The sequence below is a fragment of the Homo sapiens genome, chromosome 9 (genome assembly GCF_000001405.40).
Source record: "Homo sapiens chromosome 9, GRCh38.p14 Primary Assembly".
NCBI classification, from domain to species: domain Eukaryota; kingdom Metazoa; phylum Chordata; class Mammalia; order Primates; family Hominidae; genus Homo; species Homo sapiens.
The window spans coordinates 123,691,454-123,715,159 of NC_000009.12; the positions used below are offsets into that span (position 1 = coordinate 123,691,454).

The following is a 23,706-nucleotide window of genomic DNA, read 5'->3' on the forward strand; positions in this document are numbered from 1 at the left end:
TACAGAGGCAAAGAAACAAAGAATTACAAATGGCTCGGGGTTACTGGATCCCAGAGTAAGGGTAGAGCGGGGTGTCTCTTTGTGTGATTTTTTTTTTTTTTTGGAGGGTGGGGATGGGTGGAGAGAGGATCTTTGGCAATAGTAGAGATGAAACTAGAGCAGTCCAAAGAGCCCAGCTTGTAAGAAATTTACATGCTGGACCATGGAGTTTAACTCTTTTCCTGAAATCAAAGAAGGGTTTCAAGCAGTGGACAGATCTGATGGGTTTTGTCTTTGTAAAAAGACTGCTTTAGAAGGAGGATAGTCTGGAATCAGATAAACTCAACAATTTTAAGACCAATGTGGCTGGTGAAAGTCCTCAAGGAAGAAGGAGGTTCCAAAAATGAGGGCCTCCGTCAGTGCTCTTTTACTTACTGAATAAAATTTTAAAAACAGATTTGACTCTGGGAGAAGAGAGCTAACAAAGGAGCTCCTGTCATGTAGAAGATTGACCTGAATTTGTTAGGCAGAGGGTTGCCTGCTTCCTTCAGAAGCAGTGTCCATTGTGAGACATGGCAGGAGAGGAGGGGAGCTGGACCATCCAGAGCAGCAGGTGCGGTCCTCCCATTGACAAGCAGGCTCCCCCAAGAGCTGTTCCTTCGTCTCTCCAAGGCTACTTTCCTCTGCAAAAGGGCAACACTTCCTGTTTACCTAACAAAGTGGTGGTATGGAACAAATTAAGCAAAATAACACAAAGTACCTATCACAGTTCACAAAACAAACCAGAGACTCAAAAATAGGTAGCTTCTGTTATGACTGTTAGGTAGATGTCTACTCTCTTAGGAGAAAGAATGGTTCTCAACCACATTTTGAATGATTTTAAAATGTTGAGTGCCACAAGCACACAGATGTTCTTTCCAATTACTTTTAAGATTGCGTCAATCACAAAAGAGTGGGCTGGGCCAATAGGGATTTCTAAAATTAATATTTATTCCCCTAACCCAAGATAAAGATTTCATTTCAAAGACAGAATGAAAGCAAATTAAAAAAAGATGGGGATTATAAATGGGTCACTAGTACTTTTTCAATCATTCCTCAATGAATGACTCTTTCCGAGCTAACACTATAAGTAATTCCCTGTGCTTTCCTGACTGAAGGAACAGCGTATATTATTCTTAGTTAACTAATTAAATATGACTTAACCCTAGAAGATTTAGCATGCTATAGTGATATAAAAGATAGCAAAGCTAATAAGATTCTAAGAGCTACTATTAAACAAACATATGGATGGTAACATTTTTACCTTTCACAAATGTTTGAACTTAACTTTTATTATGACTCTAAAATAGGGCAGCTTCAGTTAATTTAAAGACCAGTTCTGTGCTCTGGGCCATTTTGGGGATGAAAATGAAAATATCTGGTACCTTAGCTCCATCAGGCATTATTTCTATTCCTCACCTCAACTATGTGAGATGGGTATTTTTAGCTATAATGTAGAGATGAAGAAACTGAGGCTCAGAGACATGAAGTGACTTGCTCAAGATCACCAAGCAAGTAAAGAAATGGTCAAGATTTGAAGTATGGTCTCTGGTTCCAAAGCTCATGATCCTTTTTCTTTTTTAAAAATCAACTTTGAATTTTAATTTATATCAAATAAACTCCACCCATTCTATGTGTATATATAGATGAATTTTGGCAACTGGATACAGCTATGTAACCACCACCCGCAATGAATCCATACAACATTTCCAGGACCCCTAAATGTTTGCTTGTGCACCATCCAACAGAATCTCCCTCACTGTCTATTTATGTGTCATAGCTCTTAGCACACAGCACTGAGATCATCTGTTTTCCACCTGTCCTTCCCACCATCTCTCTTTTAAAAATTCACTTCTTTTAAACATGCAGTAAAAGTCACTCTTTTGACAAATGCCCACATCGGTGTAACAACCACAGACAATCAAGATATAGAACACTTCCATCACACCCCATCCAGCCTGCTTGTGTTGCTCCTTTGTGGCCAACCTTGCCTCCCCAAATCTCAGCCCTGGCAACCACTGATCTCTTTCCTATTCCTATAATTTCGCTTTTTTTTTCAGAACATCATAGAAATGGAATAATACAGTACATAGCCTTTTAAGTCTGGCTTCTATCATGATCTTTTAAGCTACACTGTATATTTTAGCTTTTTTCCCTGACTGCTGACCAATGAAGGACAAGTTTTCATGGCAATAGAGTTCCATGGACATGCCCATGTATCACAACCCCATGGTGCTAGCTGCCACTCCACCTCAAGTGAAGGGTAGTATAGGAATGTCTTCAGTCCACCTAATGTATTAAAACAGTATATCATCCACAAGTTTCATTAGCTATATTATTATTATTATTATTATTATTATTATTATTATTATTTTGAGACAGAATCTCTCTCTTTCACCAGGCGGGAGTGCAGTGGCACAATCTCAGCTCACTGCAACATCTGCCTCCCAGGTTCCAGCAATCCTCCTGCCTTAGCCTCCCGAGTAGCTGGGACTTCAGGCGTGTGCCACCGCACCCGGCTAAATTTTGTATTTTTTTTTTTTTAGTAGAGACAGGGTTTCATCATGTTGGCCAGGATGGTCTCGATCTCTTGACCTTGTGATATGCCTGCCTTGGCCTCCCAAAGTGCTGCAATTACAGGCGTGAGCCACTGCACCTGGCCTAGCTATATTATTTAACACTAACAAATTATTTGTGAAACATCTCACAAGTGAGTGAAATAAACCAAGTCTGTCTATGTATGCTGGGGTTGAGAACCTCCTTATTATACCAAGCTCTCTCCTAGCTAAGAAATCATGCCCATCCCAGAGGTCTGGCCGTAATACCATGAGTGGTGCCAAGGGTTTGCTCCTTGAAAAGAAAAGGTAAAACCCAAGCTCTGTGTCATCAAGCCCAACCAGGTGAGGCAAAGAAAGTGGGAGATCAGCCAGTTGCTCTAAACTGTTTAACTCTCTCATTTTGTAGCAAAAGAAAGATGAGCTGAGAGAATATAAGGGACTTACCTAGAGTCACACATCTGCATAGCCTAAAGGACATCCTGACAAACCCAAAAGTAGATCTTTCTGTGCCCATTGAATGGCAATCTCCCAATATTACTCTGTCCTTTCCTCTTTTGCCCTATCTCCCACCAAAAGTACATGGTTTCTCTTGTCTGAATGTATAGTAGTGCAGTCGCTGTTTTCAATATCTAGAATTGTCCTAAAACATCAAAATCTCAATTGGATTCCATAAGCAATTCCCAATCTCTTAATTAACCAGGATTCGAAATGATGTCTCTTTAGCTCCAAAGCTGATGATCTTTTTGTCTACTGCACACTTTGGTATCTACTCGGACACCCATTTGGCTTACCAGTTGTGATGGTTAATACTGAGTGTCAACTTGATTGAATTGAAGGATACAAAGTATTGATCCTGGGTGTGTCTGTGAGGGTATTGCCAAAAGAGATTAACATTTGAATCAGTGGGCTGGGGAAGGCAGATCCACCCTTAATCTGGTGGGCACCATCTAATAAGCTGCCAGTGAATATAAAGCAGGCAGAAAAACATGAAAAGGAGAGAGAGACTGGCCTAGCCTCCCAGCCTACAACTTACTCTCATGCTGGATTGTTTCCTGGCCTCAAACGTCAGACTCCAAGTTCTTCAGTTTTGGGACTCGGACTGGCTCTCCTTGCTCCTCAGCTTGCAGATAGACTATTGTGAGACCTTGTGATTGTGTAAGTTAATACTTAATAACTCTCCATATATATATATATGGAGAAACAAAAGTTCTCTAAGAATATAAGCCTTAACTTCAAAAGAAATTCAAATAAGATTGTTGTCAGCACATTACTGTTAAAAGTCCATACGCTAAATATTATTGAAATTATAAATCATTCTATTTCAACACAGAATCTGTTAATCCTGTCTTGATGTCAGCTTCTTGGAGGATTCAAGCTAACAAGGATACCAATTTTCAAAACACTATTAGAGATAAGAACACTATAGATTCTAAAGAATATGATGTCATTGAGTTTTATATATATATATATCCTATTAGTGTGTCCCTCTAGAGAACTCTGACTAATACAGCATTCTATAGCTCATTGGTCATAAACCATTGACTGACTGTGAGGTCCTTTGCTGGGTCCTGGGGCTAACAGGCGATTCTGATACAATCTCTAGTTTCAAGGAGCTCAGTGTCTAGTGGGGGATTCAGACTTGTAAATCAACAAGTGTAATTACTAAGATTAATGCTATGAGAGAAGTATGCACAGGCAACAACTCTCTCTCATACTAGTGTGGGCACACACCCGTGGCAGACTACCAACCCCGGCCAACATGACAGAATTTCTTTCAGCTCTAACAGAGGCAGTTAATAATTCTAAAATTAAGTAGAAATGGTCACATTAGAAGATAATTTTATAGAAGGACAGTTGAATAAAGGTTACTGGAACACAGAATCCAATAGTGATGCCCAAAAAAGGCAAACTGATTTTTATGAACAATTTTCTTCTTCCTTTTTCTGTTAATACAAAAAAAAAAAAAAAACCCACACCAAAAAACTGGCACCTTTGTCTGGGTCCGGAGTATAAAATCAGGAAATAAAATGGCAAGTCTTACAACTGTGAACTTCAAAATCAGCTCATTACAAACCCAAGAGACATATTTGAATGCATGTTGCTACATTCATTTACCTATTCTGCCAAGCCATTCAATTACACGATTTCAGATTTTGTATAAAAAAATACAGCCATGTTTCTTTCAAAAGCTGGTATTTGGAGAAAAGTGATTAGAACAGCATGCTATGATACGTTAATACAGTGGTTTCATTTAACAGACAATGGCAGTTCCTGTACTTTAAATTATTGCACTTAGAATTCATGACTACAAGGTGTCTCAACTTTTTTCTTTACTGCTGTACAATATACTCCACTGCCACTGTGAATGCAAACAAAACACATTATCGGAAGAGTTTTGTTAGCATTTGTAATCTTAAGGAAAGTCATTTTTAAAGGTGGAGAGTGGGTACAGTAGGTTGTTCAAATCCTATGAACACTGAATAGAATAAAGCATTACAACTGGGGAAAGAGGAAGAGTGGGAGAGAAAAAGCTAAAGCAAGAGAAAATCTTAAACCAAAATTTAACATCCCTTTGGAGAGACAGGGCACAAAGGAGGAGACAGAGTTTATTCTAACCAGAAGCAGCTGCTGCTGTGCGAATTAGGAAGCATTCCTAATGAATCAGCAGTTCTTATAATAAATATACTCCCCTTTGAAATGTGAGGATTCTGCGATGAGAATTTCTTTTGATATATTTTTTACATGAACTCATTAGACAGCGAAGGGGCAGGGATAGAGCGTGTTCCTTTCTAAATTACTATAGTGATCTGATCATGTCCTCTCCAGCTTAGTTGGACAGGGCATAGGAAAATAAAGAAATAAGAACACAACTAAAAAGGTCTCTATTCACCAGTATTCTTTGTTGATCACTCAAAATAAACTTTGTAAGGTGCTACGTATCAGCCACATCTTACAAAATACCTGCCACTGTGCCGGTTAAATTTAACCGGCAATTTGGAGCTATACAAACCATAAAAGGGGCATTTCTTTTGCATTAAGAGTAATCCCCAAATTCTAACATGGTGAAGATCCGCTTGCAGAATATATCTGTTCCCCAGATATTTTGCTTGCCATTTTAACAGGAGAAAAGGGAAAAAATTATGCACACATGCACATTTATTTAATCCCCACCTAGGTTCCATATTCCACTTTTTTCTTGGATTAAAAAACAACCATTTTAAACAAAGGTTTCTCTAGGCAAAAATCAGTGTGTCTTTAGTCATACAAGACAAAATTAATTTAAAAGTACAACTTCCCATATTATTCTACCCACCAGCTATCTTTCTCCAACTTTTTTGTTGTTGTTATAGAATTTTATTCTATTTTTATTTTTCCATAAGTTATTGGGGTACAGGTGGTACTTGGTTACATGAGTAAGTTCTTTAGTGGTTATTTGTGAGATTTTGGTGCACCCATCACTCGAGCAGTATACACTGCACCCTATTTGTAGTCTTTTATCTCTTGCCCCGTCCCATTCTTCCCCTCAAGTCCCCGAAGTCCATTGTATCATTCTTATGCCTTTGCATCCTCATAGCTTAGCTCCCACATATCAGTGAGAACATACGGTGTTTGGTTTTCCATTCCTGAGTTACTTCACAGTCTCCCTCCTCCTTCCTTCCTCCCCCTTCCCCCACTTCTGCAGTGAGTTTCCAGGGTTCTTGGAGCCTCAATGCGAAAAACCAGGAACCCCAGGAGTAGTCATGGAGTGACACAAGGTGTACTGGAGAGACTATTAGAGCTGCTGTGCTTTTTTGTTTTTACCCTAACACTAATGGTACATAAGCCTTTAACATGGAAATGAAAGTGAAAAGACATTCTAAATATAAACACAACCTTTAGGCTGTTTAAAAACAACTCTTCACAAATTTAGACATGGCCTCCTGTCTTACTTAGGCCACTTTTGCTGTCAACAACAGGTTAAGAGAATGCAAAAGATAGGCAGACCTGCAGATAATAGAAGTTAAGGACCGAGAAGATTTAACTCTATCCTTATCATATCATACAGAATAAGCAGAAATAAGTTGCTCATTAGAGAAAAGAAGCCTTAGATCATATGGGGGTTGTGGAGGGGTAGAGGACCCTGATTCTTCTACAAAATCACAGCCCAAATAAGGTGAGGAAAAGTCCAAAGAACAAACCAAGGAGTCGTGAGAAGAGATCCCTTGCTTAAAGATCAGTGTGTGCTTGTTTTATATTCCAAGTAATTAGAAAACCGGAGCTCAAAAAGGCTCAGGAAATTTGTCTGAAATCATTTGGTAAGCTATAAATGGTTTAGAGCTATATCTGAACCTAAATCTCTCTAGCTTCAAGGCTATACCACAAGTGTAGTAGTACTGCCCCCTTAGTGACATCCAAATCATCAACAGATATGATTTTGCTCATTAGGCAATACTACCTCTTTAGGGCATCTTACTTGGAGACAAAGCTCTAACTTAATGCTCTTCTCTCAGATGGAAAAGCCAAGGCAGAGGGTTAAGTCACTGGACCAACATTATATAATTTCATTTAAAAATGTCCTAGGGTACAGACTACTAAAGTTGTTTCTCCTTCGTTTTACAACATGAGTCTAACCACCAAATAGTCAGCTCTACGGATCCCTTAGATTCGTTCCCCAGAAGATATGCATTCCTATAGAAATGCCCATCATGGTCTGGTGCTGTTTGGCTCAAGCCACTGGCAACCAAAAGAACAGCTTGGCAGTTTGTGCACTGCTTTGCCCTGCGTACTACGTTGCACACCTACACAGGCTTTGAAAATATTTCATTCAGTGAAGATGGATCAAACATATAAAGGACTAGCAGAAGAGAAGAAGTTCAGATGTCTGAAATGTAGACAGTAATTTCTACACAAAGATATCTGCCTCAGAATTTACGGTGGCAAAAAACTATAAAAAGCCTAAAGAATGGCAGTATATTTTTCTCAGGTATTGGAATAAAAGACAATTAATTATAAATCTAAGCTTCACACATTAGAGACAGGCATGTGACTTAACCCGTGGTTCCCCCTACTTTTTTTTTAATGGAGCCAACTAAAGAGCTGTCATAAGGATTAAATAATACAATTCATAAAACCTGCTTAGCATAGTTTCCAGGTAGAAAGTAATCAATAAATGGCAGCTGCTATTACTATCACTATTATTAATTCCAACAGTTGAGAATCATTAGGTAAAATATGGAACACCTTCATGACTTAGTATCATATGGTCATTCAAATGTCCTTCAGATGGAAAGCTGTGATGTTATAAAAATATGTAAAAAGCAAATCCAGTAAAAAGGTTTTCAAACATGTAAATTTAAAAATATATACATTTAAGTTATCTGTATATTACATATATTATAAGACAACATCTAACAGAAAACACCACAATATCTATCTTTGGATGATGAAATTAAAGGTAATTATTTTCGACCTCTCCCTCAAGCTCACCCCGTCCCCATCTTCCAGGTTCCCCCCTCACCCTGGCTCCCTGTGCCCATCTCTGAAATAATAAGATAATTATTTTCTTCTTCTGTATTGGAAAAAGTGATTTCATCCAAAACTCAGTTCCTTTTTTTTCCCTGCGGATACCCAACTGCTCCATCGACATTTTTTAATAGACTACCCTTTCATTCTTTCTTTCTTTTTTTTTTTTTTTTTTTTTTTATTGGAGACAGAGTCTCGCTCTGTCACCCAGGCTGGAGTGCAGTGGCGTGATCTCAGCTTACTGCAACCTTTGCCTCCCAGGTTCAAGCAATTCTCCTGCCTCAGCCTCCCAAGTAGCTGGGATTACAGGCATGTGCCAACACACCCAGCTAATTTTTGTATTTTCAGAAGAGACGGAGTTTCGCCATGTTGGCCAGGCTGGTCTCAAACTCCCAACCTCAGGTGATCCACCCACCTCAGCCTCCCAAAGTGCTGGGATTACAGGTGTGAGCCACTATGCCTGCCCTACCCTTTCATTTTTTAACAGACTACCCTTTGAATTACCTTGGCACCTTTCTAAAAAATATATCTAGATATCAGTTGATTCTCTATTCTGTTCTACTAATCCGTATGGTCTACCCTTGTGCCAATACCACAATGTCTCAATTACTGTAGCTCTACAATAAAACTGGAGATCAGGTAATATGTGTCCTCCAACTTTATTCTTCTTTTAAAAAGTTATTTTGCCTAAGTTCTTTGCCACAAAAATCTTCATACAGATTTTAGAATCAGCTTGCCCAATTCTGAAGGAAAAAAAGGCCTGGTGGTATTATTGCATTGACTCTATAGATCAATTTGGGGAGAACTGACATCTGTATCAGTAACAGTCCTCCAGAGAAACAGAATAGACTATTGTATGCATGCGTGTGTGTGTGTATAAAGAGATTTATGTTAAGTAACTGGTTGAGGCAAGTTTGAAATCTATAGGACAGGCCAGTGGGCTGGAAACTCAGGTAACAACTGATGTTGCAGTCCTGAGTCCAAAATTTGTAGGGCAGGCCAGCAAGCTGGGAACTCAGGAAGGATTTTTAAATTACAGTCTTGAAGCAGAATTCCTTCTTCTCTGGAAAACCTCAGTTTCTGCTCTGAAGGCTTTAAACTGATTGGATGAGGACCACCAACATTATGGAGGGTGATCTCCTTTACTAAAAGTCAATGATTATAAATGTTAGTTAGATTTAAAATACCTTCACAGTACCATCTATACTAGTGTTTGACCAAATAATTAGGTACCATAGCCTAGACAAGCTGACACACAAGATTAACCATCATAACATCTTGACAACATGGAATCCTTGAATCCATCAGCCTGGTATATCTATTTAGATCTTTTTAAAAAAATGTATCTCAGCAATGTTTTGTATTTTCAGTGCACAGGTCAGGCAAATATTTTGTTCAATGTATCCCTTGGTATTTCATATTTTGATGCTATTATAAAAGCTTCTGTTTTATTAATTTGAACTTACAATTTTAATACCAATTTCCTTACCTCACACTACATACAAAAATTTATAGAAATGGACTGAAGACCTAAGTATAAGAGATAAACCTACAAAATGTCTATAAGACAATATAGGGGAAAATCTCTGTGCTCTTAAGTTATGCAGAGATTTCACAGAACACAAAAAGCATGAACTCAGAAGTAAAAATTGATAGAAGGTAGAGCAAAATGGCAGAAATGAACTCTCCAGGGATTATCCCCACACAGAAACATCAATTTAAACAGTTCAAAATACCCTCACAAGAGCTAAAGAAACCATGTAACAGATCATAGTGCCTGGTTATAGCACAATAATAAGAAAGACACATCAAAGAGGGTAGAAAGGACAATTTTGCATTACCCATGTCATCCCTCCCCTTACCTCAGGCAGTGGAAAGAGATATCATCTGCCTGGGGGAAAGAGAAATAAGTCTAAGACTTTGTCTAGGTCCCCAATACTGAGCCTGCCACCATAAAACCCAGCATCAGGCAGACCTCTAGGGCCTCTAACTCCAGGCCGACACCTGTGAACTGAGCTTCTAGACCCACCCCAGCACCAGAGACCTGCAGCCCCTATAACACAGATTTGAGTTCTGGCCTGCATCACTGCCAGCTGACTACAGTGGCCTTAGGCTATGAATAACCCACAGCAACAGGCAGGCTCTCAGCAGCCAAGAGCTTCAGGTATATCCCAGTGCTGTACCAGCCTTGGTAGCCATGGGCTTAGCATGCTAAGCTACCACAGCTACAGCAATCTGAGGATTAGGGACCAGACCAGACAACCTGCCTAGAAACTCTGAACAGGCTTACTTTTGAAGGAGGTTCCAAAACAAAGCCACAAAAGCTTACAAAGACTGGAATAAGTACCTACTTCTTCAATGTACAGAAGGTCAATGCATGACTACAAGGATCAGGGAAACACGTTGTCACTAAACAGACAAAATGAGGTACTAGTGACTGACCATAAAGAGACAAAGATGTATGTACTGCCTGATAGAGAATCCAAAATAGCTATTTTAAAGGTGCTCAATAAACAATTCAATGAAATGAGAAACATAATAAGTGACCAGAATTAGAAATTTAACAGAGCCTAAAATAATTTTTAAAAACATTTTTCAGGAGTTGAAAAATACAAAAATAAATAAATAAATAAAAACGCAATAGAGAAAATCAATAGCAGACCTGATTAAGCAGAAGGAAAAAAATCTGTGAAGTCAAAGACAGGTTATTTGAAAATATACAATCAGAGGATAAAAAAGGAAAAAAAAGGAACGAAGAAAGCTTATGAGATTTACGGAATGGCATCAAAAGAGCAAATGTATGAGTTGCTGGTATTCAAGAAGGGGTAGAGAAAGATAAAGAGGTAGGAAAGCTTATTTAAATAAATAATAGCAAAAAATATACCAAACCTACAGAAAGATACAAATATCCAGGTACAGAAAGGTCAAAAGCCTCCAATCAGATTCAATTCAAATAAGACTACCCCAAGATAGAATCTAATCAAACTGTCAAAGATCAAAGACAAAGAGAAAATCCTGAAAGCAGCAAGACAAAAGAAGCAAATAATATATAAGAGAGTTCCAAGACACCCAGCAGCAAACTTCTGAGAATAAACATTATAAGCCAGGAAAGACTGCGATGATATATTTATAGTGCTGAAGGAAAAATACTGTCAACCAAGAATACTGTACCCAGCAAATCTGTCCTACAGAAATGAAGGAGAGAGAAAGATTTTTCCAGACAAACAAAAGATAAGGGAGTTCACTATCACCAGACCTGTCTTACAAGCAGTGCCAAAGGGAGTTCCTTAAGCTGAAAGAAAAGGATGCTAATAAATAACATAAAACATCTGAAAGTAAAAGTAAGTATACAGTCAAATTTATAATACTCTAATGCCATAATGGTGGTATGTAAGTCCCTTATATCAAGTATATAGGTTAAAAGACAAAACTATTTTAAAAATAACTACAATGATTTTCTTTTCTTTTGATACAGAGTCTTTCCCTGTAGCCCAGGCTGGAGTGTAGTGGCGCGATCTCGGCTCACTGCAACTTCTGCCTCCTGGGTTCAAGTGATTCTCCTGGCTCAGCCACCCAAGTAGCTGGGACCACAGGCACACACCACCACACATGGCTAATTTCTTTGTTTTGTATTTGTAGTAGAGATGGGGTTTCACTATGTTACCCAGGTTGGTCTCGAACTCCTGGACTCAAGTGATCCATCCACCTAGGATTACAGGTGTGAGCCACTGCACCCAGCCTAAAAAATAACTACGATAATTTGTTAAGGGATATACGTTATAAAAAGATGTAAATTATGACATCAAATTTCAAAATGTCAGGGGAGGATGTACAGTTAAACTACAGAGTTTTTTGGTCTCCATGTGATCAAAGTTAAGTTGTTATTATCAGCTTAAAATAACCTGTTATAGTTATGTTTTTTATATGCTTCATGGTAACTACAAAGCAAAAAACTATAATAGATACACTAAAAATAAAAAGCAAAGAATCAAAACACACTACTATAGAAAAATCACTCAACCACAAAGGAAACAGTAAGAGAGGAAGAAAGAAAGGACCTAGAAAACAATGAAAATGGCAGTAATAAGTCCTTACCAAAAAGAACAAGCTACTCATATATAAATAACTTGAATGAATCTCAAAAATGCTACGCTGAGCAAAAGAAGCTAGACACAAAGGAGTACATATTGTACTCCTTTCCATTTAAATAAAATTCTAGGAAAGATAAAGTTAATTGACAATGAAAGAAAACAGATTTGTGCTTGCCTAGGGCCAGGGGAGGTTGGGGTGACTAAAAAGGGGCACAGAGAACTTTTGGGAGTGACAGAAACGTTCTGTATCTTGACCATGGTAGTGGTTATACATCTGTATACATTTGTCAAACTCATTAAATTGTACACTTAAAATTGGTGAATTTTAGTGTATGTAAATATATATTTTATATTTATATATGTTTTCATTTCTTTAGTTCATCCATTTTGGCCTATGGAAGATTAGATATTTTTAAAACCCTCCCAACTGATACAATTAAATGCCAGACTATATATTTTCATGTACCATCTTTAAAAATATTGCTAATCTGGTAAAAAGTAAACACTCTAGAGGCCCGAAAAATAAAATGAAAAAAAAAAATGGAACTCAGAAAAGTAAACAAGCAATAAAGCTAGTTTTTACCCCTGAAGCTCTTTGCCAAACCATGAACACTTTGAGCTCCCAAAATGATGGAGACACAGGTCAGAGGTGAAAGGAGATAAAGCCTAGAAATCTCTTAAGTACACAACAGCCTAATACTTAGGTAGTCAAGGGCTACATCTTTAGTGTAAGGATAAAATATTCTGATTAAATTCTATCAGCAGAAAATTCTTCATTCTTGATGCTGTTGCAGGGTACAAGCAAATATCTCCAGTGACACGTCTAACTAAAAGTATGCTTTCACATGGAGTTGCAATCCAAATTCACCCATCGTGGTCTCATAAAATGGCAAACATATTTATAGAGAACCCAAATTATTAGTATTCCTAGGTAATAGCCAGAAGCATAGTTGAAATATAAATATACTCTAGAGGGATTCAAATTGAGCCAAGCCCCACTCCCCCAATTCCTACAAATAAAGCTTTGTGGACAACTAAAATAATCAGAAACAGAATAAAACAGTGTTTAATGCATGTAAAAAACTTAGTTTCTCATTTTTTAAAGGAATGATTGACAATGGTGGGGAAAAAAAGACTACCAACAGCCAAGCAGATCTATAAAAGAACCAAATGGAATATCACAAAATGAAAAGATTAGACACGAGTAAAAGTGGCATTAGTGAGCCGGAAGATAAACCCAGATACGTTATTCATAATGGATCTAAATAGACAAGAAGAAGAAATAACTGAAAAAGGAAAACAAGCAACATGAAAGAGAGTGAAAAAGCCTAATGTATTCTAATCAAATTTCCAGAAGGATATAATAAGAAAAAGAAGCATCAAAAGTCAAAGAAATAATGGTTGAGATTGTTCCAGAATTGCTGAAATCCCACGCAAGATGAATTTAAAAAAAAAAAACAAACAAACACATGAGAGACAAAGCACTGTGAAGACAGCAAGAACAAATAAGTGAATTAGTTTAAGAGTAACAATTAGACATACTCATTTGTGGCACGTAAATAAAACAAGAGCAAAAAAGAATCTCCTTAATCTAAGACAGAATATCTATTTACGACTTATTGGAGAAATGCTAATATACTTTCTTTAAAATGAAGAACAATAAGAGTATATTCATTATCTTTACTTCTGCTCAACGTTGTACTGAAGATATTAAGCAGCACAGCTGGACAAGAAAAGGAAATAAAGGGTACAAAGAATAGGAAAGGGGAAAAAAGGTAAAGTGGTTATTTATAAATTACATAATTTTATATCTGAAATCCAAAAGGATATATAATAAACTACTAGAATTAGGTAGCTGGGCAAAAGATCAATATTCAGAAATCAATTGAGTTTCTAAACAACACGAGAACAGAAAAATGTAATTAAAAATATATGCCATTTATAGAACCCGTAAAAACATAGGTCCTTAGGGGAAAAAAATGAAGCAAAGATATGTAGGACCATTATGGAAGAAATTTTGAAGTGTTTTTAAAAGATATTAAAATAAAATCTAAATAAACTGACACCATGTTCAGGAATTGGGCAGGAAAACTCACTAACATAAAGGTGTCAATTCATTCCAGACTTATCTGTATTCAGTGAAAATTTCAACCTGGTTTTTATGAGACTTGATAATATTACTGAATCTAAAATTTACATGGAAAGGCACAATACCAAGAAAAGCAGAACATCCAAGAAGAAAAGAAGACGTAGAGAACTAGATAGATATTAAGACCATAGTAATTGACACAGCAAAAATAATATGTACCATCCTTGGGAGAACTGAGAAAACAGTGTCATTCAAATTCTGTTTTGTGTTCTGGGATCAGATGAGAAATGCAGTATGAGAAAAGCTGCATCTAGGAGGTTAAGATTAGAAACAGGGAAACCAGTTCTAACAATGCAGCAAGAAATGGTGTTGGCTTGGACCAGGGTGGTAGTGGTGGAGGTGGAGCTACATCAACAGATACTAGATATTTTTTCTTTTTTTTTTTTTTTTGAGACGGAGTCTTGCTCTGTAGCCCAGGCCGGACTGCGGACTGCAGTGGCGCAATCTCGGCTCACTGCAACCTCCACCTCCCTGGTTCAAGCTAGTCTCCTGCCTCAGCCTTCCAAATAGCTGGGATTACAGGCGTCCGCCACCATGCCCAGCTAATTTTTTGTATTTTTAGTAGAGACGAGGTTTCACTATGTTGGCCAGGCTGGTCTCAAATTCCTGACCTCATGATCTGCCCATTTTGGCCTCCCAGGATATTTTTCAACATAAGATATGGCTGAATTTGTGGATGGCTTGGATATAGAGTATGTGGACAAAAAAGAGAAGGGTCGGCTGGGCGCGGTGGCTCACGCCTGTAATCCCAGCACTTTGGGAGGCCGAGACGGGCGGATCACGAGGTCAGGAAATCGAGACCATCCTGGCTAACACAGCGAAACCCGGTCTCTACTAAAAATACAAAAAATTAGCCAGGCGTGGTGGCGGGCGCCTGTCGTCCCAGCTACTCGGGAGGCTGAGGCAGGAGAATGGCGTGAACCCAGGAGGGGGAGCTTGCAGTGAGCCGAGATCACGCCACTGCCCTCCAGTCTGGGTGACAGAGCGAGACTCCGTCTCAAAAAAAAAAAAAAAAAAAAAAAAAAATAGAGAAGGGTCAAAAACAACTCCAAGGTTTTTGGCATTATCAAATGGAAAAAAATAGTATTGTCCTGCCCTTAACTGAGATGGGGAAGACTAAGAATAGAGTTGAGGAGAAAAATTAGAAGCTGAATTTTGGATGTGTTATATAAAAATGCCTATCAGATAGCCAAGAGAAGGTGTAAGCAGCTGGAGTTCAAGGGAAAAGTCCATGTCTGAGATTGCTATTTAATTCTGGGAGTTGTCAGAAGGTGTTAATAGACATGACATGACACTGGGTGCAATGAAGGGAGTAAATATATTTAAAGAAAAGAAGCTCAGGGCCGGGCGCGGTGGCTCACGCCTGTAATCCCAGCACTTTGGGAGGCCAAGGCAGGCGGATCACCTGATATCAGGAGTTTGAGACCAGCCTGATCAACATCGAGAAACCTCGTCTCTACTAAAAATACAAAATTAGCCAGGCATGGTGGCGCATGCCTGTAATCCCAGCTACTCGCGAGGCTGAGGCAGGAGAATCACTTGAACCTGGGAGGCGGAGGTTGCAGTGAGCCAAGATCCCGCCATTGCACTCCAGCCTGGGGAACAAGAGCGTTAACTCCATCTCAAAAAGGAAAAAAAAAAAAAAGAAGCCCAAGGACTGAGCCCTGGAAGGGAGCACCATTTAACACTTTGGGGAGGTATGGAATAACTGGCAAAGGAGACAGAAAGAAAAGCCAAGGAAGTAGCAGGAAATCAGGAAAACAGGGTTCCCTTCCCTGGAAGTCATATGAGGAAAATATATCAAAGAGAAGGCAGTGATTGTGTCAAACAGATCAAGAAAGAGGAGAACTGAGAATTAATCACATTTTTGGTCACTGATAACCATGACAAGAGCAGATTCAGAGGGGTGGTGGGAGTGGAAGCCTGATTGGAATGACTTCAGTGGAGAACTGACGACAACAAATTCAGCAACTTTTTAAAGGAATTTTGCTGTAAAGGGAAGAGGAAATAGAGACCTAATGGGAGAACAGTATTAGTTCAAGAGGATGTTTTCCTACTCCCATCCACTAAGATAGGAGAAATAGCTACATGCTTCCACAATAAGGGGAAGATCAAGTAGAGAGGGGGAAATAATTCAGAATGGGAAGAAGAAAACTGATGGAATCGTGTCTTGAGTAGACGAAAGGGGATGGAATCTAGTGCATGGATGCATGGTTTTGTTCTTGCTAGGAATCTGGAAAATGCACCCATGATAACAGGGGAGAAGGTAGCGTATACGGGTGAAGTTGTAGGTGGGTGAGATGTGGTGATAGCAGATTGCAGAATTTCTTCTCTGAGGCTTCATAATAGCAGTGTTTGTTATAGCAAAAACAAAAAAAAAGAGAAGAAAAAATTGGGAACAACCCATGTGGTCCACCAACAGGAGTGGTTTGAATGCGAATGGTCATATTCTTTAGTTGGGCAATAGACTCTCCAGTGTTTATTTTATCATTACCTTACATATATTCTATATAATTAGATGCATAGGAAAGAATATATGTAATAATTATGTATAAGAGTTCTATTCTGGATAGAGGACTGGAATTGAGAGGTGATCAAAGGAAACCTGCATTATACCTATATTAATTACATATTTATATGTTATTTTAACTATTTACAAGAAAAATATTGATGCATTGCTTGCACAATATTTTTGGAAGCCTAAATTCTCTGGGTAGATGGAATTTGGGGCCATTTTCTTCAGTTTTTTAGCATGTTGCACATTTACTTCAGAGTCTAAGTATATTCATGACCAGAAAAATAAATTTTAAGTAACAACATATAAAATATTACAAGTATATAAAAAATAAAAGAATATGTCATCATTGTTGCATGCAGATGGTAGGGTTATGTGGGGTTTTTTCTTCTTCTAGTTTCTTATAGCACCTTCAGTTTGGCAGGGGGAGTAGGATGAGCAATGAGCATGTATTGATTACATAATTGGGAATTTTTAAAAACAAAAAAAGAAAAGACTACCGGAGCCTTCTGTTTTAGCATTCTCAGTACCTAAGACTTGAATTTTGCTTTTAACTGAATTCTAACCTCTTAAGAAAACACCACTTGATTTCTTCAGGAGGTCATTGGCTTTGACTTTACTGTTATGTATGATACACTAAATAGATGACCATGGGTTAAACATACTTGAATTTCATTTACAGTATTGGGATAACTCCCCCGCCTCAGCCCTTTTTGGCTATCAGTAGGCTGCCTACCATTCCCCTGGAATCGACTTTGAGCCAGCTGGTCAGCATATCAAGGGCTGTCACTCTACAACCCAGCAGGACTGAAAGTGGTCAAGTCTGTTCTATGTCTAAAAAGTGGAGATGCTAGCATTTCTGCAACCCTATCAGGAAGAAGGCCTAAATGGAGCAGACAGATCCCCTGCCAGTTTAGCAGACTCTGTAACTAAGGCCTCCTCTGTTCCCAGGACTTCTCTTTCCCAATCCTACTCCCGACCCAGGCCCCCCTCTGAGCACCAGTGCCCCAGTTTCTAGGTGAGAAGGTATGTTCTTTGTTCTTGTGCCTTTTGGATAGAATTCTCGTAATGATCAAGCACTGATTCTTATACTGGGATCAACTCTGCTCTAACACATTCTCTTGCCTCATTTTCCCCATTCTGAATTCCCCTTGAGTCTCTATACTTGGCTTGGCACTGATTCTGCTTTGGCACAGTCTGAACTTGACCTCAGAGAACAATGTCAGAGGCCTCTTACCCTCCACCCCTGATCTCTTACTTCCCCATGTCCCTTTAAGTTTTCCGTAGATCTTGCCTTCCTCCTGCATCCTAGCTTGCTACTGCCTTGCTATATGGCCTGCTGCTCAGTGATGGCCCACCTATACACCCTAACGTCTGCAGGGGCCAATTTCAGCAGACATCATGTGCCTGCATTGTAAACTGCACTGCTGATGGTCCCTACTGAAATTTCTCCTAAAAACTAGCCACACTCATGAAAGCTGCAAAATATATGACAGTTTCCATTTGGAATTTCTAAGGAACTTGGAAAACCAAGATTTCTTCAAGACAAAGGATCCAAAATTCACTTGAATAATGGGAAGAGGGGTATTGGAAAGGAAAAGTTAATATTGGTTCGGCAACCACTGTGTGCCATATATTTACCTACCCTAGTCACAACTCAATGAATTAAGAATTATCACTAGAGATAAAGAATCCAACACTCAGGAAAGTTTAATAACTTTCTCACAATAGCCAAGTGGTAGCAAGTGGTAGAACTAGTATTTGAACCAGGTCTTTCTGCTTTCAAAGTTAATACTCTTTTCCTCACATCATGATGACGTCCAAATTTCCAACATACCTAAGAACTACGAAAGCACTTCCAAATCTTTACCTAGCTCTAAATAATCCTTGCATACATACAAATGTTTTTCACTAATTTAAAAAGTGTGTGCGTCTAAAGATACAAAATCTAAGAAAAGGTAATACTAGGGTATTGTGATATAAGGGCTTTTGCATGTCCTGTTTTGTCTTTTTATGTCACCAACAAAATTTTGCAAAAACACACCATGTAATAAGAGTTTTGAAGGCCTTTTGTTTAGTTACAGGCAACAATCAACTGGGAAATCCCCACTGGAGTTTGAATGCTGAATTCTGAAGGCTAAGTTCAACAAGGCTACCACTCTAGAGAATCCTTTCTAGTCACTCACCAACCAAGAAAAGATAACTTGAGTGCAGCTACGCTGCTGAGTCATCTATAAAGCCTCATTAAACACACACACACACACACACACACACTGGCATCATACAAATTTGCTTTGAGCTTTTTAAGAAATTCTGATAATTTTTAAATGTTGTTAGGGACAAGCTGTACTCCCTAAAGATTATAATTTAATGAAAAATCTTGGAGGTTTTTTTTTTTTTTTTGAGACAGAGGTTCACTCTTGTTGCCCAGGCTGGAGTGCAGTAGCATGATCTTGACTCACTGCAACCTCCATCTCCCGGCTTCAAGCAATTCTGCTGCCTCAGCCTCCCAAGTAGCTGGGATTACAGGTGTGTGCCACCATGCCAGGCTAATTTTTGTATTTTTAGTAGAGACAGGGTTTCACCATGTTGGCCAGGCTGGGCTCAAACCCCTGATCTCACATGATCCACCTGCCTCGGCCTCTCAATGTGCTGGGATTACAGGCGTGAGCCACCATGCCCAGCCGGAAGAGATCTTTTTAATGTATTTCCCCTATCTATCTTGGATGAGTAATGTATATTTGAGAATATTTACACAAAAAGGAGTAAACAAATACGCATTATATTGATAAGTTAAATAGCTTGATTTAGCTATTCTACAATATATACATGTATCAAAACCTCATGCTACACAGTATAAATATATACAGTTTTTGTCAATTAAAAAATATATAGAGGCCAGGTGCGGTGGCTCACACCTGTAATCCCAGCACTTTGGGAGGCTGAGGCGAGTGGATCACCTGAGGTCAGGAGTTCAAAACCAGCCTGGCCAACATGGTGAAACCTTGTTTGTACTAAAAATACAAAAATTAGCCAGGCGTGGTGGCGGGTGCCTATAATCACAGCTACTCAGAGAGGCTGAGGCAGGAGAATAGCTTGAACCCAGGAGGCAGATGTTGCAGTGAGCCAAGATCACGCCACTGCACTCCAGCCTGGAGGACAGAAGGAGGCTCCATCTCAAAATAATAATAAATTAAAAAATATATATATATATATATGTATATATGTATATATATATATATATATATATATAAATTCAACAAAGCAATGTCTTTCAAGTCCACTGCTACTGTGACATCCTACCTACTGCAAACCTAAAGCATAACTACCATGTGCACAGTTGATGGGGGCAGTCATTCAACACCCTGGCTCTCAGGGGCTTCAATGACCTCATCATTCTGACCTCCTTCTTTACTGTATCCCAGCCACATTCTTTAGTCTCCCCTTAACCTTCCCATTACCAAACCCGCCCTGCCTCTAAAATCACTAATTAAGACTTCCCAAATCTGAAACTAGTTTCTTATCCTTGGTGTTCATTCATCTTACGGCTCCTTTTCTACCTGTTCTTAACCCTTATCACTAATGGTCTCTTCATTTTCCTCAAGTATGAGACTCTCCTTTCTTCACCACTGGCTTATCCAGCTCAGTTCTATGGTCCATCATATCCAGACCATAAAGGCATGTGTCTCTTTTCCTTTCATCCCTGATGCATGGAAATGCCTTATTCTTGAATGAATGCAACTATTTACCTTCTCTGTGCCTCCATTAGGCTAATATGCATAGCTAGGGAAAAATTCCACACAAACATATTATACCTCTAGGAATTCTACATTTATAAAATCTACAACATCAACTAAGTCTTCAACACTGTCCAGCCTTTTCCACTAGTTGGCCTACATGACTATTCCATATCTACTCAAATCTTTAATCTTCATACTCTCTCTTCCTCACCCTCAGTATCTGATCTTACCACCTACTTCATCAAGAAAACAGAAGTTTAGACAGGAGTTACCTCAACTTTCCAACAACACATTCATTCATTCAATACATATTTACATATTCATTAAACACTTTTGGAAGTCTGGGCTCTGGAACCAGATCACCAGTGTTCTTACTCTAGCTCTGTCCCTTGGGTAAATTATTTAACCTCTTTGTGCTCCTGTTCATTCATTTCTAAACTGGAGATAACAGTAGTACCAACTTCACAGGGTTGTGATGGAGATTTAAAAAGACAAGTATATGGAGCATTTAGAATAGTGCCTGGCACAGAGTAAACATGCCATAAGCATTAGTTGTTACCACCACCATGACGACAATGACATAGACCAGGCACCAGATGTACATATGGAAATCTGTAGCCACTGGTTCCTCCTCCCTGCTTCTGTTATAACAGTGGAAATGTTGGCTTCTTTTAACTGGGTTTAGGAGAGAAATTAATTAATTAACAAAACAGGCTAATGTGAAAAGACTTAAGTAACTAGCCCAAGGTGAAAAGGATATTAAAATGTAGAGCTGGCATTAGAAATCAAGTTCAACTCTGTAACTACAACATTCTGCCTTCGATATTTCCAACAGATTTAATCTGGCAGAAAGTTCTACCTAAATACCTCAGCTCCTGCTACAGAAGCAAAGCTCAGGTTGGACAAAGGCGAATGTCCCCCAAAGTACAAATGGGCCTTTAAAGGTCTGAAACTACAAGTATGCATAAAACACTCTAAATGATGGAAAAGGGAGTACTGAACTCCTAAGGTAGTCAGGGAAAACTTCACCGCCTATACGATGCCAACGAGAATATTTTGAAGAGAAGTATGCAGAAAATCCCTGACCGAGAGTTAACAAGGGGCAGAGAATGCCTTGATGGTGAGAAAAAGTTATAGCTGCTACCAGCAGGAAATCTCTTGGACATGACAAAAACTGTTTAATAAAAAAGGAGAACATATTAAAACTATTTGGCATGTGGGCCCAAATCAAACGGTACAGCATGAAAGTCTGGAGATCACCTGAGGACTAAAAGCAGAGTCCCTTCAAGTAGGGAGTTAGAGTTCCAACAGCTGTCAAGGAATCTCGATCCTTCAAATACTATTAAAGAGGTAATATAAAAGAACTTTAAGGAGTAACTGTGGATGTGGCAGATAAGAGATTTCACTATGTTCAGAACACCTGGAATCACTTAAGAGACATCTGTTATCATCTGGGAATCAGAGATTAGAGCACAGGACCACTGGTTAGGTCAATTCAGAATAGCATTTCCATGTCTCCACAGCAACTGCTCATAGGAGTGGGACCACGGGACTTTGGGCTTTTCATCATACCTTTCCACATACTCCTTATGATGGCACTGAAACCTACACAGTTTTCCACAAGTTGGGGTAAATAACAATGAATACATTTTAAAATAAAGACAATTAGAAAAAAAAAACTAGACTCTCCTGAAATTCACACTATGTTGATAATTCTTAGATACATTATCATATTTAATTTTGACAATAAGAATATTATTACTAATAACATTATTGTCACTATTCCATCAACAGAAACACTGAAATTCAGAGGTGAAATATCTTTCCCAAGGTCATATAGTTTATGAAAGACGGGGCTGAGATTTGACTCTAGATCTGTCTGACTTTGCCACTATACCTTTACATATGGAGAGAAGAGTTAAAAAAAAATCACAAATTATGCCATGATGCCCCTTATAAGAGCCATCTAAAAATTGGAATTTACTTTTAACAGTACTTAAAAATTAGTGTGTACAGTTAGAAGCATGCTTGCCTAGCAAGTATATTAGAATTGATTGAGTAAAGGAAAGACAAAGCAGTGGCATTTTATGCTCGAGAAAGGATCGGCAGTTTTATCAGAACACTCCAAAGAAATCACTCTGGTGGGCTGGGACTAGCGTCCTCTCACATTGCAGCTAACCCTGTTTCAGCCACAGATACCAGCCCCAGCAGTGGGGAATGCTGTCTGTGCAGGTAGCTCCTGCCAGGCGACCTTGTCTACCATCATGTTGCAGGGACAAAAACTCTCAGCATTGGCCGGGTGCAATGGCTCACACCTGTAATCCCAGCACTTTGAGAGGCTGAGTTGGGTGGATCACTTAAGGTCAGGAGTTCGAGACCGGCCTGGCCAACATGGTGAAACCCCATCTCCACTAAAAATACAAAAATTAGCCGGGTGTGGTGGTGCATGCCTGTAATCCCAGCTACCAGGGAGGCTGAAGAAGGAGAATTGCTTGAACCCAGGAGGCAGAGATTGCAGTGAGCCAAGAACATGCCACTGCACTCCAGCCTAGGGGACAGGGTGAGACTTCATCTCAAAATACAAAAACAAAAACAAAAACCTACTCTCAGAGTCAGCCCTACTGTAAGAGAACCAGAAGTGCTCTAGCATGAGAAAAACAGCACAGTTTCACATACATTCACGTGCCTTTAAATGATCATAACTATAAAACAATGGAGGAAGTGGGGGAACAGACAAATTGAAAATTGATTCCATCCTAGGTTCTTTCTCTGAGTCCACAGGTTGGTTGCTAGGAATATATTTCTCCACAGTCAGGTTTCATTGGCTTCTTAAAAATTATTTTTCAGTAACTTCTAAAATATGTTTTGTTTACGTCCAGGCACAGTGGCTCATGCCTGTAATCCCAGCACTTTGGGAGGCTGAGGCAGGCAAATCACCTGAGGTCAGGAGTTCGAGACCAGCCTGGCCAACATGGCGAAACCCCATCTCTACTAAAAAATAAAAAAATTAGCCAGGCATGGTGGCGGGCACCTGTAATCCCAGCTACTTAGGAGGCTGAGAGAGGGAGAATTGCTTGAACCTGGGAGGTGGAGGTTGCAGTGAGCCAAGATCGCGCCACTGCACTTCAGCCTG

The 23,706-nt window shown here is 39.1% G+C and overlaps 1 protein-coding gene across 41 annotated transcripts in view, besides 1 other annotated feature; it reads right to left on the reverse strand.

Annotated features, from left to right (window-relative positions):
- DENND1A (DENN domain containing 1A) overlaps positions 1–23,706 on the reverse strand; it is a 550,469-nt gene that overhangs the window by 311,796 nt on the left and 214,967 nt on the right. The window lies entirely within an intron of this gene.
- Positions 6,395–6,444: an enhancer, noted in NCBI's record as "active region_28947". NCBI's record gives its function as "activates an Ori minimal core promoter by ATAC-STARR-seq in GM12878 lymphoblastoid cells {active_cell/tissue: GM12878}" and the evidence as "EXISTENCE:reporter gene assay evidence [ECO:0000049][PMID:35858748]".